Consider the following 19,272-nt stretch of genomic DNA (forward strand, 5'->3'; position numbering starts at 1 on the left):
GCGATCAGCTATACAACATTGTACTTATAGTCAACAATATGTTGTACACTTAAAAATTTATTTAGAGGGTAGATGTCATGGTAAGTATCCTTACTGCGATAAACATAGAAGAAAAAAAAGCTGGCCATCTCCTGTGTGCTGTTACGTCCCTTCACAGGCTCCTTGCTGAGCTCTTCTGACCCCAGCTCTGAGTGATGCACATTTACCTTTGGCTGAAGCTCTCTGCCCCATATGCTGACTCTGTCTGCTGCATGGCCCGTTTTAGTACATGGGTATCTTTTACCCAGTAAACTCTGAGAAAGTGAGGTCAAGCTAACTCAATAGCTCAGTTCTGGCTTTGCTATCAAAGGACTTAGTATAGTTTTAGATTTCCCAAATAGGAATCAGCCCCTGTCCACTATGCATCTACCTAAGGGTTGTGTGTGAAAATCTCCCAGTAGACCTGAGACTGATGGTAAAGGGGTACTTCTCCATTTCCCAGTAGGGATGAATGGGGTTCACAGCACGACTTTCTCCAAAGAGAATCTCCTCACAAACTTTTTTTTTTTTCAAAATCTTCTTTTGATTATTTTATATTTTTAAAGTGGGTAGAATGTTCAAGAGTTGTGCAACTTTTTCTCAAGGCTTCTTAAAATATTGGCATTTTCATCTGACATCTTACTTGGAATTTCATATTTTCATCCTGTTGTCTCATTCAAAACCCTAATCATCATCTTATTATAATAGTTAATGGTTGTCGAGTGTTCACAATCACTCAGTGTTCTATGTGCTTTACATACATGAACTCATATAATTCGAAGAATTTTTAATACCATTAATTACTGTTAGTACTCTGATTTCATAGATGAGGGAAGTGAGGCTCAAGGTTAAATGACTTGTCCAAGAGTGCTCAGCTGGGAAATGGCAAGGCTGGCATTCAAACCCAGGGAGACTATCTGCACAGTCCATGGTACACAGGATCCCTCAAGCTGGGAATTCCTACTCACCTCACTCCCATTGAGCTGAGACCAGAATGGCCAGCAAAATGCCAGCAGTGCAATCATCAGGGGACAGAATGTTCTAGGTAGCAAGCTAGTATTGCTTTTCCTCCTGCAGTTCTGTAGCCTATTCCCTTTTTGTTTCTACTGTTATTGGTGCTTGATCCTCTCAGCTGATATTCCTGGTCTTCCTGGAGTAGCCATTCAACTACTGTCATCTGTCACTTAGAACAAGAGTCTGTATAAAAAGCCCGAGACAACTTTTGGGTGATAAAATTGGGTGATAAAATCAATCTGCCGATAACTGATTACAGCTTTCTCCTAAAGGAAGGAAAGGAGGTCAACACATTTAGATTTGTTGAACTTTGGCAATTCATTATAGAGAAAGTATGCATGTATATTTCAAATTGGTTTTGCTTTTCATACTTGATCTAGCTTCTAATTGTATTTTGAAATAAATAAATTTATTTTTCTTTAAAAAGGAAGCAAGGACCCCGATATCTGGGTCTATGATACCTAAATAAGCCAAATTATTCACCAGTGGTTCTCAACTGGGGTTCATAGGGGACATTCAGAAATGTCCAAGGGCTTTTAGATGTCACTATATCTGAAAGAAATGCTAGCATTTAGTTGGTGGGGCCAGGGCTGCTTAATGTCCTGACATGTACAGTCTCACACAAGAAATTATTCTACCTCATTGGTCTCTTGGAGAATATCACCATAGAGGCAGCTGAGGACAAAGGCCAAGGTGGGCTGTCTCACCTGTGCAGAACTAATCCTTTATTTCCTTGCCTTATCAGTAATAAAACACCAATCATCCATCTATTTGGAAACAATTGATATCTTGGCAGCTGGAATAAATAAATGACTTGCTTTAAAAAAATAGCCAATTCTTCCTTTCCACGTCAATTGGAAGTGAATTGTGCACATTCACATACAGTCATGGTTTTGTGAAAGGAGATCTCAGGAGTGGAGGTGAACTGTGCACTTCCTAATACTGTGGGTCTGGGATGGGGAGTATGAAGTTATGCCACAAACGATGTGACTCTGTTTCTGCAGTCTCCCCTGGTGTTTGCAGCAGGATGAAGAGCTAAACACAAGTGTTTTTTAGAGCATTTTGGACCAGAACCCTCCCATTTGCCTTCAGGGACACCACATTTCTGGTAAACAAGGAAGAACTAGCTTTTTATTTTACATGTGGGCTGTCTCGAGTGAAAAGTTAAGGTAATTTTATTCACGTGGGTTTGCAAGGATAAAAAGCTTATTTTTTCCTGCCTGTCTCTGATATCGAATATTGTTCTAGAAAAAATAACATTAGTTTACAACTTAAGGTCTGTTTATCACACAATCTTGTATATATTGGCAGCAACTTAATAACTTTATATTTAATCTTACTAATATTCTTCGCTTCTGTCTTCCAAAATGGCACTGGAACTTCATATAATAGATAATGACTTGTCACCTTTGATTTCTACTTAATCTGAGGAAAAGGTTTTCTGATAATGTTTGAAAGGCCAGTAAATATAACTTGAGTCAACATTTTATCACTGAAGCTCACTACAAGCTAATGTTTACCCATTTTTATAAACTTTTAAAGAACAGCATCTCGTCACCCCCATAGTGCCAAATATTATCTCTGTCTACATTCTGTTCATCTTAGAACAGTTTCTTTTCTCTCTGTGTCGATTTCTTGTCATGCTAAGTAATTATTGTATAGACCTCTTAGTTTCACATGAACATCATCTTCCTTTAGCTCTGATGAATTTTAATTGTCTCCTAAAACTTCCCCTTGGCTTCAGTTTCTCAAAGAGATCAATAAAAGATAATTTGAATTCTTTACATAATTGACAGTGCCTCATTTCTCTTAGAGATGAGCTGACTTGACATTAGACCTAAGTCTTATCTATTTGACATGCACGAGATGAATGAAAATCATTTAGTCTGTATTATTCTCAAAGCCATCTCATTGTTGCTATGTTAAAAAAAATAGGATGAAGGATCTGTGATAAAAATAAAGATGAAATATTTATTTCATCTTTACAGATATGACTCTGCCCATGCAGCTCTTGAGGTGGTATCATAAGGGGAGTGAGTATTGGCTTGAACTATTTGGGAACTTTAATAGAGGGTATTAGTGAGGAAATTAGGCTGGGAAGATGACTAGCCATGAAGGATGGCCCTCAAAGGGAAGCCAGTCTGCGTAGTATTGTGCTCAAAAGCATAGAGGAGCTCAGGCTGGTTGAGCAATAATTGCTTGTAAGAGCACTGATCCTGCAAGGCAGGACACGGTAGGGAGAGGATACCAAAAAAATGGTCAGTGTCAGGAGATCATCTACTTGCTCCCATCTATGGAGGTGGTAGAATGAGAGGTATGGAGAGCAGGATTATTTTTTTAAGGGAAAAATGGCCAAGAGGAACTGAGCAGGGCAGAGGAGCTTTCAGTTACTTGTGGTTTAGGTCCTGGGACAGGGAAATCAGTACTGGAGTGTTGGGGTAGGGAGTTAATGTGGGAGCCTTGCTTTTAGATTCAAATCAACATAGTATAGGGGAAAAAATTTTGTGCCCAACTCAGGGCAACAAAAGTACGAGTATGTTCTGTGTGGTAGTTAAAGAAGCATCAAGGCTCCAAGCCCCACCTACTAAATCTCAAAGCTTATAAAAAATTTGCATTAATTTTTTCTTTCTGATGAAAAACACACACACAGTTTTTTAAAGGCAACTTAGAAAATATAACAAAGAATAACGAGAAAACAAAATCACCCATAACCTTACACCAAAGAATAGCTTCTTTTAACAACGTGTTATACTACCTGCCCGTTTGTTTATCTGTTAGTCCCTTAACTTATCTTGAGCACTTGGGATTAGACAAGACCTCTTAAGATATTTCAAGTTGATAATTTCCCCATGTCATTATATGTTCTCAAAAAGCAAGTTTAAAGTGTTTGTTAATACTTCATGATAGAGCCACAAATCGATTTTATCTCTTCAATGTTAAACACATTCATTCATTCAATTAATGTTTGTTGGATGTCTACTTTGCATCAGGTACTGTTCTGGGTGCTGAAGATACTTCAGTGACCAAGGAAAAGTCTCAGCCTTCACAGAGCTCACAGCCTAGTTACTTTACATTCCAATTGCTTCTATTTATATATATATTTTTTGCCATTATAAATAATGCTGGACACACACAATCCTTGTATAGCAATCTTTCACTCTATCTGTGATTATTTCTTTAGGCTATAATTATTTCAATAATATTTTAAACTTTTATCCAACTTTTACTATGAATACTTCAAAATACAAAAATGTTAAATGGATAACATTAAATACATATACGCTTATGTACAAACACATACATGTATATGTATAAGTGCACACACATTTGAAAGGAAATTGCCAACTTGTGCACTTCATCTCAAAATGCTTCCGCATGTTATTTTCTAAAAAGGGAAAGTTTTTCCTATATAACCACAGTACCATTATCATCTAAAATAATTAACAATCATTATGAAATATGAATCAACATCTTGTCCATATTCATTTCTTTCCCAATTTCTCCAAAGTTTCTTTTATAACTTAAAACCAATAGAATCCAAACAAGGTGATGTGTTGCAATTTGTTGTTATATCTATTTAGTTTTTTGTTTCTGTCTCTCCCCCTTTCTTCACCTCATCTCCCTGCCCACCCCTCGTTGAAATAGTTGTAGATTCACATGCACTTCGGTGACATAATAAAGAAAAGATCTGTATACACTTTGCCCAGTTTCCCCCAATTGGAATGTTTTGCAAAACCATAGTGTAATATCACAACTGGGTTGTTCACATTGATATAATCCAGCTTGTAAAAGAAATACTTATTCAGATTTGCTCAGGTTGTTATATGTGTGTGTGTATTAAGTTCTATATAATTTTTATCATCTGTGTAGGTTTGTATTTCCACCACTACAATCAAGACACTGAATAGTTCCAACACCATAGGATCTCTTTTGTTAATCTTTGATAACCACAACTGCACCCCTATTGTTTCCTAGCCCCACCCCATGCCCGACCCCTGGAAACCACTAATCTGTCCATCATTTCTGAAATTTTGTCATCTCAAAAATGGTATACAGTGTAACCATACAGAATGTCATCTTTTGGGATTGTTTTTTTTAACTCAGCATAATTTTCTGGAGAGTCATCCAAGTGGCTATATTAATTGATAATTTTTTCTTTTTTATTGCTGAATTGTATTCCATGGTATGTATGTACTACAATTTATTTAACCATTCACTTGGTGAATGGACATCTGGACTAATTACAGTTTTTGGTTTTACAAACAAAGCTGCTATGAACATCTGTGTGCAAACTTTTGTGTGAACATACATTTTCATTTCTCTGGGATAAATGCCCAAGGGTGTAATTGTTAGATTCTATGATAGGTGCATGTTCAGTTTTTTTCAGAAATTGCTAAACTCTTCCAAAGTGGCCGTATTCCTGCCAGCAATGTGTGAGTGATCCAGTTTCTCTGCATACTCACCAACATTTGGTATCGTTAACTATTTTTCATTTTAGCCACTTTGATAGGTGTGTAGTTGATATGGTTTGGATTTGTGTCTCCGCCCAAATCTCATGTCAAATTGTAATCTCCAGTGTTGGAGGAGAGGCCTGGTGGGAGGCGATTGGATTGTGGGGAAAGATTTTCCCCTTGCTGTTCTCGTGATACTGAGTGAGTTCTCGTGAGGTCTGGTTGTTTAAAAGTGTGTAGCGCCTCCCTCTTCTCTCTCTTCCTCCTGCTCTTGCCATGTAAGACGAGCCTGCTTCCCCTTCACCTTCTGCCATGACTGTAAGTTTCCTGAGGCCTCCCCAGCCATGCTTCCTGTACAGCCTCTGGAACCATGAGACAATTAAACCTCTTTATTTGTAAATTACCCAGTCTCAGGTATTTCTTTATAGCAGTGTGAGAATGGACTAATATAGTAGTAATAGTTCATTGTGGTTTTAATTTGCATTTTCCTGATGGTTCATGATGTTAAGCATTTTTGTGTGTGTGCTTATTTGTCATCTGTATATTCTCTTCAATAAAATGTCTGTTCATGTCTTTTGCCTATTTTCTAATAGATTTTTTTTTTACTGCTAAATTTTGAGCATTCTTTACATATTCTAGATACTAGTCCTTTGTCACATACATGGTTTTCAAATATATTCTACCACTCTGTAGCTTGTTTTTTTTATCTTCTTCACCTGGTATTTCATAAATAAAAATTTTTATATTTTAATGAAGTCCAACTTGTTAAGTTTCCATGTTACTCTTTTGGTGTTGAGTCTAATAACACTTTGCTTAGTGTTAAATCTGGAATATATTCTGCTTTTTTTCCCTAAAAGTTTTATAGTTTTTACTTTTAAGTTAATGATCCATTCTAAATTACTTTTTGTACAAGGTTTGAAGTTTCAGTCAAAGTTAATCTTTTTTTTTTTTGGCCTATGTTCAGTTGCTCAAGTCCCATTTGTTGAAAAGGCTATCCTTCTTTCATTGAGTTGCTTTTGCACTTTTATTAAAAATCTGTTAGGCATATTTATGTGGTTCTATTTCTACTTTTTTCTCTTCTGATCCATTGGTCTATGTGTCTATCCCTCCACCAATACCACATAGTCTTCATTACTGTAGCTATATATTATGTCTTGAAGTTAAGTAGAGTGATTTTCCCCCCATTTTATTCTTTTTTGTTTAATTTATTTTTAGCTATTCTAGGACCTGTACCTTTCCATATGAATTTTAGAATAAGTGTTATGGCTTTCCATATGAATTTTAAAATAAACTTATCTATGTCTACAAGACACCTTGCTGGAATTTTGATAGAAATTGCATTAAAGCAATTTGGGAGGAGCTGACGTTATTACTATGTTCAGTATTCCAATCCATGAGTATTTTATGTCTCTCCATTTATTCAGATTTTCTTCAATTTCTTTCATTAGTATTTTGTAATTTTCAGCATTCAGATCATTTTTTTGGTTAGGTATATACCTAAGTATTTTCTTTGAAATAATTGTGAATGATATTATGCTTTAAATTTCAGTTTCTACATATTTATTGTTAGCATATAGAAATGTGATTGATTTTTGTGTGTTGATTTTGTATCCTCTGGTCTTGCTGAACTCACTTATTCTAAGATTTTTTTATAGATTCCTTGGAATAATATTTAATCACATTATTTACAAATAGAGATAATTTTATTTCTTCCTTTGCAATGTGTATATTTTCTGCAGCATCTTTTAATCTAGTCTAGTTTACTACTTTTTTCCCCTAAAAAGGGGAATATTTTTGAAGATATCAGTACAGTTGTCTTGTAGGACATGCCAACTGGGTTTGTTCATTGTTCTCCTGCGGTGTCATTTAGCCTGGTCCTTCATTTCTGCTTTTCTTGTAAACTGGACCATTACATCTAGAGGCTTGAGGAGATTTAGGTTAAATATTTTTGGGAAGAATATTTCTTAAGTTATGCTGTGTACCTCATGCTGTATGACAATAGGAGACTTTATAATATCAAGTTGTCTCATTATCGTGACGCTAAGTCTGATTGTTTGGTTAAAGTGTAGACTGCAAAATCTTTCCTGTGTCAAGATGCATGATTATTTTACTTAGCAATTTCTGGCATAGTTCTTTGGCACTGTGAGGATAGCCTATTCCCCAGTGATCCTTTCTGTTATGGTTTAGAATGCATTGATAATCTTTGCCTGAATCAACCATTTATTAAGCTTTGTAAAATGGTGACTTTTAGTTCTTTTATTCCTTCTTAATTTATGAACTGACATTCTTCTGTGGTGGTTTATCTTATCAACTAGAGTGGAACTATATTTTTCTCTCTAAAGTCAGGGTAAATGCTTAGTTCTTTTTTTATTATAAATTTTCAGGACTATGGTATAATCATTACCTCCATAGTTCAAACTATTCATTTCTTCCTTCCTTTCTTCTTCCTTCATTCCCTTTCTTCTTTTCTTGCAGTTTTCCTCCCTTCCTTCTTCCCTCCCTTTCTCTTTTTCTTGCTTTCATTACTGATGTCACAGAAGACCTTACATTTTTCAATGCTTTTCAATCAATTATTGCCATTATTCTTTCTGATACTCAAATGTCTCAAACCTGGCCAATGGAAGCTCCTTTAAACGGTCTCTCATGTCCTTTTAACATCAATTTATTATTCTTTGTGCACTTGCTTGCTTTCTGGAACAAGATCTCCTAGGCTGTCCTATATTTTTTGTGCCTTGAATCTAAAATCAAGGACCTCTGGCTCCTTGGCTGAGGAATGGTATTTTTACTCTTCCTGATTCCCTCTGTCCTTTGATTTGGATGTTACAGTCTCTGAAAGGAAGCAACCTCCAGGACACTATGCAATGTTTCCAGGGGCCCTATTATTTTTTCTTTTCCTTAAATAGCAAACATGATTAATGCCAAGGTTAGTGTTTCTAATGTTTGGTCCCAGAGTGAGGCCTAACAATGTATCTTGTAAAAACTCAGACATACTCAGGAATGTCTATAGCTTTGACAGAACCAGGCTGCTGGGATGCCACTTGCTTAAAAAACTTAGAAATATTATAGAAATTAAACATGACCAGGCAATTGAGATTGACTGTGGCCCTTGATTCAGATTTTACATAAGTGTAAAATTTTTTTTTAACTCAGCATAATTTTCTGGAGAGTCATCCAAGTGGCTATATTAATTGATAATATTTTTCCTTTTTATTGCTGAATTATATTCCACGGTATGTATATCACCATATAAGTATGGTGATATCTTAAAAATGTGGGCTGATTTAAGATGTAGCTCACTTGAATGAGAAGGCCAAGATATACAAACTTAGTGTGGGTAGGCTGCTGGGGGATGGAGAAAAGAGAATACTGTACTCACCTGACAATAAACTGTCTTTTGTCCACTTCCCAATAACTTTTTTTTGAGCCCATAAATATTCACTGAGGGGAAAACATGTACTTCTAGATAGGTCCCCATTGTGTAAAAGCAAAAGCATATTGTCTATGTTCATTATGCTCATGGCCCATGGGAGAGACAGACAGGTAACCTCTGGGTGACCACAGGTGCTGAGAGGAGGCTACGGGAGCACAGAAGAGGGACATCTGGTTCAGACTGTGTGTGGTGTGGGTGTGAATACGTGCACATGCATGTCAGAAAAGATTTTTAGAGGAACTGGGCCCTGTCAACTGAGGTTTTAGGATTTGAGGGAGTTAGTGTATGGTAGAGAGTCTTTTGTTTATTTCCGTGAGTCTTTAGGATGCATGTTGGAAGGCAGGGTCACATGCACTGGACTCGTCTTTCCATATCCTCAAAGAGTTGTTTTCTTTCTCTGCATTAGGGATTGGGTCCCAATATTTCATTTTTGTTTGTGTGCTGTTAAGGCAGATAACATCAGCAGCATCCTTGAACATCAGCAGCATCCCTGCAGAGATCTGCCAACTTAGTTTATGATTCCTTAAAAAGCACCTCTACCTACAGCCTAGTCTGCTGGCAGCTATGACTCTGGCTGCCAGGGCTACTTGCTTTTCATGATGGGTTTTCTCATACTTCTTAGTTCCTCACAGCATGCCCCATTTTGCTCCATTTCAGGTCAACATGCACAGGCTGGTGATAAATCCCATTGTCACCCAACATCATATCTCCTGGTACATAGTTGTTGCGGCAAGCTCTTTAAGATCATCCATCAGTGAATGAGTGGATGTCCAGCACTTTCTGTTTTCTTCCTTTTGGTTTGCCCAGACACAGCATGCTGCCTTCAGTAATATCTCTCACGCAGAGATTCTCATAAGGAGTAAGGGAGGAAGCATGGAATGGGAGGAGGGAGCTGTGGACCTTGGAAGTTGTCTGCGGGAAATGGATAACCTCCCTTCTGGCTTCCTACCCTGGTCTACGCACACACACTAAGAATCCATGTACTAAATCACCCCAGTTCCTTCACGTACAAGCTCCAGCTGGACTAGGATAAATTTTTTTTTTTTTTACACTTACAAACAAAAATATTCATTTCAATTAAATTCAACCAACATTTCTTGAATGCTTACTACAAAAAGGGCACTTCCAGGTATGGATGGCTAAAAAGATTTGGCTTCTTCCCTAAGAAAGCTTCTCATTTAGAGGGAAACAGATAAATACATGATTATACTGCCTGGCAAAAAACTTGAATCATTTCAGTTGACTTTAGGAGAAGGGAATTACGCGATTTCTAGGCAAGTCCTTAGAGCAGAGGAGAAGTGACACTAACCATCCAGGAGGCAGGGTGGGTCCCCATGTTGTTCTGGGCTCCTGTGGGTGGTGTACCATAGAGTCTTAGACCAGGAAGAATAAGATGTCACTGCAGGGCCCCTGAGGTCATGGGGGCCAGAACCAGGTGAGCAAGTAGGATTTTATGACATGAAAGACAAGGATGGATGTAAGACAATGTTCCTTGGACGGTTGCTAGAGGTCATTGGTAAACAGAAGGTCAGGAATCTGACAGAGAATAACACACAGACCTCCAGGAGAGACTGTATGATGAAATGGGCAGGAAACCTTGTCATACAGCCAATGTTCTGGTACAGTCAGGAGCTTCTGACTTGCTTCAACTTTCCCGCAATCCCAGGGAATGGACAGCTTAGTGTTACAGGCAATAACAGTGGCATTACTACATCTGACCAAGGAGAGTGAACAAGGCAGCAGGAGCTGACAGTGGGGTCTCATTTCTGTGCTCTGCTGAATAGCACAGAGAGCAAGCAACTCACCCATAAGTGCTTAGCTTAGTAGAAGCCCAAGAAAAATGGCCTCTTGGCGCCATATTATTCTGTCAGGAGAGGAAACAAATCTACTGACTGTCATGGCCTACTGTTATGAATCCGTGTAAGAGTCTTGGAGGCGAGTCTCAGTGTCATCAAACCTCAATACCATTACTCTAAAGTATTGGCTAGTTTTACCACAAATTACATCTTCCTTAGATTTATAGGCTTTTGAGAATGGAGGTAACGGATATTGAACATTAGAAAAGAACCTTGTCTTGATGAAGATGTGCTGATGCAAGATGTTTTTTCCCTAAAGCTTAACAGAGCCTTTGTCTTCCTGTGAATCATAGAAGTGTTAATAATTCATTTGTTTTGTCTCTCATTTCCTACTTCTATAAGACTCGCATAGTCCTGGTGAGGGACATGCACGCCCCAGCCTCTTTGGCTTGCTGGTAAAGGAGATCCCCACAATCTGGCAGGCATCAGGGAGATTAGAACGCCCCAGTGGGAAGTGAGCTCTCCTTTTCACTGATCCTAGGCAAATGGATGTCCAAGAAGAGAGGAACAAAAGGTCTAGCTAAAGCTACTAATGTATTTTAAAGAAAAAATGTTAATGGATGACATGCAGTAAGTTATGGGTATATCATTTGAGATCCTTTTCACTTAAAACAGCAAATAGAATTGCATCTGAAATGTCCATTCCTGGTTAAAAGAGGCAAATCGTAGAGCAGCTTTCAGGCAGTGGATGTGTTGGATGTCACTTCAATGTGGTCAAACATCTAATCCCACTATATTTTATGTTAAACAATAGCACTTTAAAGAAAGCACCTCGGGCTGGGTGCAGTGGCTCAAGCCTGTAATCCCAGCAATTTGGGAGGCCGAGGAGGGCAGATCACGAGGTCAGGAGATTGAGACTATCCTGTCTAACATGGTGAAACCCTGTCTCTACTAAAAATACAAAAAAAAATTAGCCGGGCGTGGTGGCACGCACCTGTAGTCCCAGCTACTCGGGAGGCTGAGGTAGGAGAATCGCTTGAAGCTGGGAGGTGGAGGTTGCAGTGAGCCAAGATCCGCACCACTGCTCCCTGGCCTGGGCAACAGAGCAAGACTCCATCTCAAAAAAAAAAAAAAAAGAAAAGAAAAGAAAAGAAAGCACCATGTACAGGAGAAGAGGTTTTTTTTTTTTTTTTTTTTTTTTTTTGTTTTGTTTTGTTTTGTTTTGTTTTTTAATTTGGACTTTCTAGGAGGGCAGTGGGACTATATTTACCTGCTCCCCCACCCTAGTGTGATGACTTTGTAAGATTGTAAGTACACAACCTCAGGTCGACCCATTTGAAATGTTCATGGTGCAATTAATTAACTGATGTTCTGTTTATATAATGTTCTCTCCTCTGCCCACCAGTAAATAAAAGAGAAAAAAGGGAAAACATTCTTAAAACAACCATTTTATTCTTGGAAGCAACCGTATTTCCCCTACTGAATTAAGAAAGCTTTATGTATTCTGACCAAACTGAAGTGCTTGGGCTTCCTGGCAAAGCTACCTACCTGCAAGGCTGGTTCACAGCTGTCACTCTCTGTGAGGTTAGTTTAGTAGCATGGGGGCACTGGGGTCAAGCTGGGGATGAAATGTGTTACCACACTGGGAGCCCATGTGAATACTTCACTGAGAAATAAAAATCAGGACATAAAATGGGGAATGAAGTGCATAAGACATTAATAGTTGATGGGCCAGTGTATTCACTGATATTTTTCAATCCAGCACTAGAGAAGACAGAAATTCTGGGGGTTAGAGGGAGTAAGAGAGGGAGGGAGAGCACTGAGGCTCTGTTCTTAACTAGGTGGCCCACAGGATGGTAATGAGACTCTATGAGCTATTTTTGATGACTTGAAAAATCTCAAAGGAATTATACATTTATTCACAACAACCATGCACAGACTAATTAAAATGTCAAATTTCTTTGCTTTGGGCTGAGGTTATATAACTCCATTGTGGTAATATATTTATCTCAATTTATCCAGAGGTCTGATTATTGGCAGCTGTATTTGTTAGATTAGTGAAAAGAAAAAATGAATTACTTAATATCTTTCAAATCATGAGGTCCATGGGAGAAAATGATAAGAAGCCCTTTGAGGTAAATAGTTGACAATTACTGTCCTGGAATAGAGAGACCCTATCTGGGGGATCTGTTGAGTTTTTGCTATACTATGGGGCCTAGGGGATGCTCAGTGAATAAAAATTTAATTTTTATTCTACTTATAAGACAAATATATCTTAGGCTTTCTGAATAGAGACACATTTGAGCAAAACAAATATATGAAAGGTCATCTTAGTAGTGGGCCTAAGGTAAGTGTATTTGCAATCCCTCAATAAAATTAATTTTACAAGGGAAATTTTTAAAAAAGTTTCAGAGTCTTACTTCTTACAGTGAGATTACAAGATGAATGGGTACATAATTGCCTTTGCCTTTAAGGAATGCATGGGCTGGGAAATGGGGTCTCATGAGCCCCAGTGGTGCCACTGGCCAGGCCCATTTTCTTAGGAGAACAAGCTACCACTTGGAGAAGTATTCGTTCTTCTTATTCAGGACAGAATCCAGTGTCAGAAAATACAGTAAGAATTCAGGAAGAGCCTTTTGGTTCCTTAACTGAACATTTTCAATGTATATTTATGTGTAAAAGACTTCTCAAAATATAAATGCCTAGAAGAGGTCACCCCATAAAATTGGTTGAATGATTGAAAGTTTAAAATGCTTGATGTCGATTCTTTCTGAATTGATTGTAAAGAAGATAGGCAAAGTCTTCATTGGATACCCCAAAGAGCTCAAGAAGAAGGAAATGGAAGGAATGCAAAAGCAAAAAGGCTTAAACCTGGTGGCCTCACTATTGGCCCAGCATGCTTCTGTCATTATTTGAAGGACTATGGTAGGTGTCCTTGGATGCAGCTTAGAAAGCCATGCTCCTCAGAAAGCCTCTGCTTCAAGCTTTTTGTTTTTCTTAGTGAAAAATCAAACAATAAACAATCCACTTTTTCCAAAGTACCATTTCTCTTGTAGCAAGTTTGGCTTCCAGTCAGGAGAGCTCCTTGGACATAGCCCGGTGGCCAGAGTTGACTCAGCAGACTGCCTTGCTTTTCCAAAGCTCTGAGCTCTTGGGAGAGTTCTTGGCATGACACAGCCATAGATCACCCAATTACCAAATTCTGCAGTTTTAGAACCTGGTTCCACTAAGAATTCCTAGGTGTTATTATTTATTTTTTTTTGAAGGAGCTTTACTCTTGTTGCCCAGGCTGGAGTGCAATGACGTGATCTCGGGTCACTGCAACCTGTGCCTCCCAGGTTCAAGCGATTCTCCTGCTTTAGCCTCCTGAGTAGCTGGGATTACAGGCATGCACCACCACGCCAGGCTAATTTTGTGTTTTTAGTACAGACAGGGTTTCTCCATGTTGGTCAGGCTGGTCTCAAACTCCCAACCTCAGGTGATCTGCCCGCCTCAGCCTCCCAAAGTGCTAGGATTTACAGGTTTGAGCAGCTATGCTGGGCCGCTGTGTTTCTTTAAAAGGGCCGAGTTCCTATTTTATTTAAATTCAAAACTATTTGAACATTGCAAAGAATTTTTAAAATGTTATGAGGTGATTTTTTTTTTCCACTAGGGACAGCTCTATCATCCTTAGATATGGGAAATCTGTCATCTCTAAGATAATTCTGACATCCCTTAACTGCATTATGGAGATTGAAGAAAGTATGATTTACTATGTCACAGCAGGGTATATTGGACACAATGCCATTCAATTATAAGGAGAAAACATAGATTAAGCCTTAAGCAAAAGTCATCAGTCAAGGGAAGAGGTTTTTGGGAAAAAAAGAGATTTAATGAGAACTTGTGTGTGAGAAGCAGAGAGAGGAGAATATAAGAAAACGACTTTTCTTTTTTCTTTTAGCCTCAGGTAGAAATTGAGAAAAGAAACAGATTTTATATTTTATAAAAACTTTACTCTTCATTTTTTCACCACTCCTGCTGCCAGAAAAAAAACAGATCAGTTTTTTTTTTTTTCTTTTTTTGAGATGGAGTCTCCCTCTGTTGCCCAGGCTGGAGTGCAGTGGCATGATTTCGGCTCACTGCAAGCTCCACCTCCTGGGTTCACACCATTCTCCTGCCTCAGCCTCCTGAATAGCTGGGACCACAGGTGCCTGCCACCACGCCCGGCTAATTTTTTGTATTTTTAGTAGAGACGGGGTTTCACCATGTTAGCCAGGATGGTCTCGATCTCCTGACCTCGTGATCCACCCGCCTCAGCCTCCCAAAGTGCTGGGATTACAGGCCTGAGCAACCGCGCCCGGCCGGTCAGATCAGTTTTTAAGAGAAACTTTAATTAAGCTTGTTGCAAGTTTCTTCATTCCATTTTCTTTTAGTGGGATTTTCGGGAGCACAGTTAGTGAGCATTACATATTCTTTTTGTTGTCTCATTATGCCTGAAAGATTTCATCTATCTATCCAGGCCTTTTTTTTTTTTTTTTTTTTTTTTTTCCCGAGACAGAGTCTTGCTCTGTCAGCCAGGCTGAAGTTATCCAGGGCCCTTTTTTAGCTGAAGGCTTGTTTCCTTTCTGCAGGGATCTGGACCCGTGTGCTATGGTGACAATGCTAAGTAACCACTGCCCACACCCTTAGCCTGACTCTTACTTCCAATGGTAGTAACTGTCAATCGGCAGTTCAATAATTTTTGCTTTAGTTTTTAAAATTCTGTTTTCAATTCAGTGTTTATTTCTTAAGAAAATGTAAAAAATGTGGGGTTATTACAAAGATACCAGATCTAAAACCAGAGATTAAATTTTGGCACCTCATCTTTATGCACCTGTGATGTCTTCAGCATTATTTCAGTGTTTCAAAGAGTTGTTACTATTATTAGCATGTGAATAATCTGAGGGAGGAATTTAAAAACACATTTTCAAACACTTTATATATCTTTCTGCACTTGGGTCATTTAACAGCCAATTACACAAAATTCAAGCTTCCCAGGGAGTAAAACATCAAGGTTAAATAATTGTTTTGCTATGTTTGGATGGAGAAGAGGAAGAATTTGACAAGTTGAAGGATAAGAAAGTTGATTTTCCAAAGTGTTAAAATAATTTTCATCATTATCATCTCTTATTAAAAATGTAACAAAAGGGAAGAAGTTTTAAGAAAGAATGAAAATGGTGAATAATGAGCTGGAGAATGATACTGTGGAGAAAACAGAAATAACAGAGATTGGTTTGCTTTTGGAAGAGATAGTGAAGGATAACTACCATCTAGGAAGAGTTTTAGTCCCATAAAACTGAACAAGTTTTCTATCAGCAAAGGACAGAATAAGATGAAAAAGGCTTACACTAAGGCAGGAGAGATTGCAGTTGGATCTAATGAAGATCTTCAGGACCGTAAAGGGATCAAACTGAAATGGAATGTACAGAGAAATTGCGTGTGTTCTTTCCTTAGTGACCTTAAAGAAGAAAAGAGACAACTATTTGTTCTGAATTGTTTGCCTACATAAGGCAGAGACATGAACTGATTTTTGCAAGTCTCTTGAAGCTTAGCAATCTCTATTCCTTGAAAGTTCATTTAATATTGTTTTCCTCTGAGACATGTTATTATTTAGTGGAAATTAACATTTCCTATCTTGGCTAGCAGCATTACTGCCCCCAAAGTCCTCCCTTTGATAAATCTCAAAGTTAACCATTGACTTCTCCTTCTCCTTTAACACATCTGTGTCTGCTGCTCGACTGATCCACTGCAAATGGCTATAACATTTAAAATGCTGGGCAAGTGCCATGGACTATGCTAGGCGTTGCTTTACACAGCTAAATTCTAATCCTCACAACAAACATTTGAGAGAGCCATTATCAATCCTTCACTAGATAGAATATAAATGAAGAAACGGGAGCTAAGAGGCTTGCTTAAGCTAAATATAGACGAAAAGCACAACTTAAAACACCAGTCTTTCTAATCCAAACTGTGCCCTCTTTGAACATGGCATGAAGTGAGAAAAAACTAGAAGCCATTTTTCTTAACTCCTAAATTCAGTAACTTTGGGAAAGTGACTTACCCTTTCTAACCTCCATGTCCCTGTTACTTTGGGACCTGGTTCTATTTTTGATTAGGTTATATAGAAGACTTCTGGAGAAGTGGAATGATAGCTCAGTTTTTTTTTTTTTCGAGACGGAGTCTGGCTCTATCGCCCGGGCTGGAGTGCAGTGGCGCGATCTCGGCTCACTGCAAGCTCCGCCTCTTGGGTTCACGCCGTTCTCCTGCCTCAGCCTCCTGAGCAGCTGGGACTACAGGCGCCCGCCACCGCGCCCGGCTAATTTTTTGTATTTTTAGTAGAGACAGGGTTTCACCGCGTTATCCAGGATGGTCTCGATCTCCTGACCTCACGATCCGCCCACCTTGGCCTCCCAAAGTGCTGGGATTACAGGCGTGAGCCACCGCACCCGGCCGATAGCTCAGTTTTTCAAACATACAAGATCTTGCTTGATCTCAAGTTCCTCAAGTTGTCACACTTTTTCCACATGCAGTTTTCCATGTGCACCTTCTGTTCAAATAACAAAGGAGAAAATCTAGTGCCCGAGAGGGAGGTCTCAGAGCTGGCTGGGGCTTTCCCTGTGTCCATCTTGTAGATAATTACTTTGGATTTCTGCATTCTACCTTATGGCCAGGGTGGCTGGTTGGCATTCCTTCCTATACATAGCAGGAGCCAAAGAAAGGCTCTGGACAGAGAGGGGCTATGTGTTTGTGACTCCTGTTCAGCATATCACTTATAAATCTTAGAGCTTGGAGAATACTTGGAGATAAGCCATCCCAGAGATGGCAAATATAGTTTATAATCCACCCCCAGTTGCTGGATTTGATTTCTTGGAAAACAGGGAGAAGGGCTTCAAGACTACATCCAGGCTCATGTCTGCCATGGTCATGAGGGAAAGGGAAAAGCATTTGTGTATCAAAGTTATCCTCCCTAAGGTACTCAAGTTTTCATTTTATAGACAAGACAACTACAATCTAGATGGGTTGTTGTCTTGGTCAATAAAGAGTCCAGGGAGATTAAGTGCAGCAAACTCCTGCATAATGCTATAAAGAATATTTGAACAGTTCAATTGCATAAAATGTAGAGTCTCATTATTGCAGGGATAATGTAAAACAACATTTTTTGGTCGGCCTACCAGTTGCTGTAGGAAAAAAAGAAAAAAATAACCTTGTTTTATTAACAGCTATATAGAAATAGTCTGGTGATTATAAACAAATACATAGTGATAATTTCTTTCTTTTCTCCCCTTCTCTACTGCAGAAGATAACATCAGCTCACCTCTTTTGAGAATACGGGTTGGGAACCAATAGCCAATCACTTTGTATTCCACTTAGCATCATCATGGGGCATGCTATCATGGGCTTCATTGTATTTGGCGTTCTGCAACGAGAACTACTCTAAGTGGTGATGTAGAGCAAGTGCACAGCTGTGGGAGCTTGGGGATATAGACCACAGTGGCCCTCTGCAAGTACATCATCTCTGAGAAGATTCGGGTTTTATCTTAAAATTTACTGAACTTTAGATTTATTTAATAACATAACCAGGTTTGTTTTAATACAATTCATTAGTATTAAATAAGATTAACACTCTAGGAATAATAATAATATCAGCTGACATTTCTTTATTCTGTGGCTTTATGTACACAGTGACACATGGCTGTTGTGTTAGGGTTCTCTGGAAAAACAGAACCAATAGAATATCTCTATCTATCTATCTATCTATCTATCTATCTATCTATCTATCTATCTATCTAATCTATCTATCTATCTATTATGGGAATTGGTTATTCACATGATTACAGAGTCTGAGAAGTACCACCATCTGTGGTTTTCAAGCTGGAGAACCAGGAAAGCTGGTGATGTAATTCAGTTTGAGTCCAAAGGCCTGAGAACCAGGATAACTGATGCTGTCACTCTTGGTTTGAGCCCAGGAACCAGGAGCTCTGATGTTGAGGGCAAGATAAGTTGGATGTCCTGGCTCAAGAAGAGAGATAATTTGCTTTTTCTCTGATTATTCTATTTGGGCCCTGAATGGATTGGATGATGCTCACCACATTGCTGAGAGCAGACCTGCTTTACTCAGTCTACTGATTCAAATGCTAATCTCATCTGGAAACACTGTTACAGACACACCCAGAAACAACATTTTGCCAGCTATCTGGGCATCCCTTAGCCCAGCGAAGTTGATCTATAAAACTAAGCGTCACAGCTATACACCAGTTTTATATACCCTGTGTTGAGAGTAATGGAAACAAGGAATTGCATAACTCAACTAGTAAATTTTTAAAAGATTTAAGCTAATGAAGTTTTGAAAGAGATTGGCTATTGTATACTTAACCCTAGTTCCCTCTATTTTTTCTTTTATCATCACTTTAATTCTCTTCATCCTAGAAAATGTTCACCTGGCCATCTATAGTCATCATTTCCTTAAAAACGGCCTTTGTTCTAAAGCAGAATTCTATTTTCAGATAAAATGTTATGTGGAATTCCAGTGTAGAAAACAGATAAA

The 19,272-nt window shown here is 38.6% G+C and overlaps 1 long non-coding RNA gene across 13 annotated transcripts in view, besides 1 other annotated feature; it reads left to right on the forward strand.

The window, feature by feature from the left end:
• The window catches only part of LOC105375523 (uncharacterized), a 459,019-nt gene that overhangs the window by 171,967 nt on the left and 267,780 nt on the right, over positions 1–19,272 (forward strand). The gene's annotated exons all lie outside the window — the stretch shown is intronic.
• Positions 10,654–10,854: a silencer, noted in NCBI's record as "peak6754 fragment used in MPRA reporter construct". NCBI's record gives its function as "represses an SCP1 promoter by STARR-seq MPRAs in K562 erythroleukemia cells {active_cell/tissue: K562}" and the evidence as "EXISTENCE:reporter gene assay evidence [ECO:0000049][PMID:32103011]".

The sequence above is a fragment of the Homo sapiens genome, chromosome 7 (genome assembly GCF_000001405.40).
Source record: "Homo sapiens chromosome 7, GRCh38.p14 Primary Assembly".
In the NCBI taxonomy this organism is placed as follows: Eukaryota; Metazoa; Chordata; class Mammalia; order Primates; family Hominidae; genus Homo; species Homo sapiens.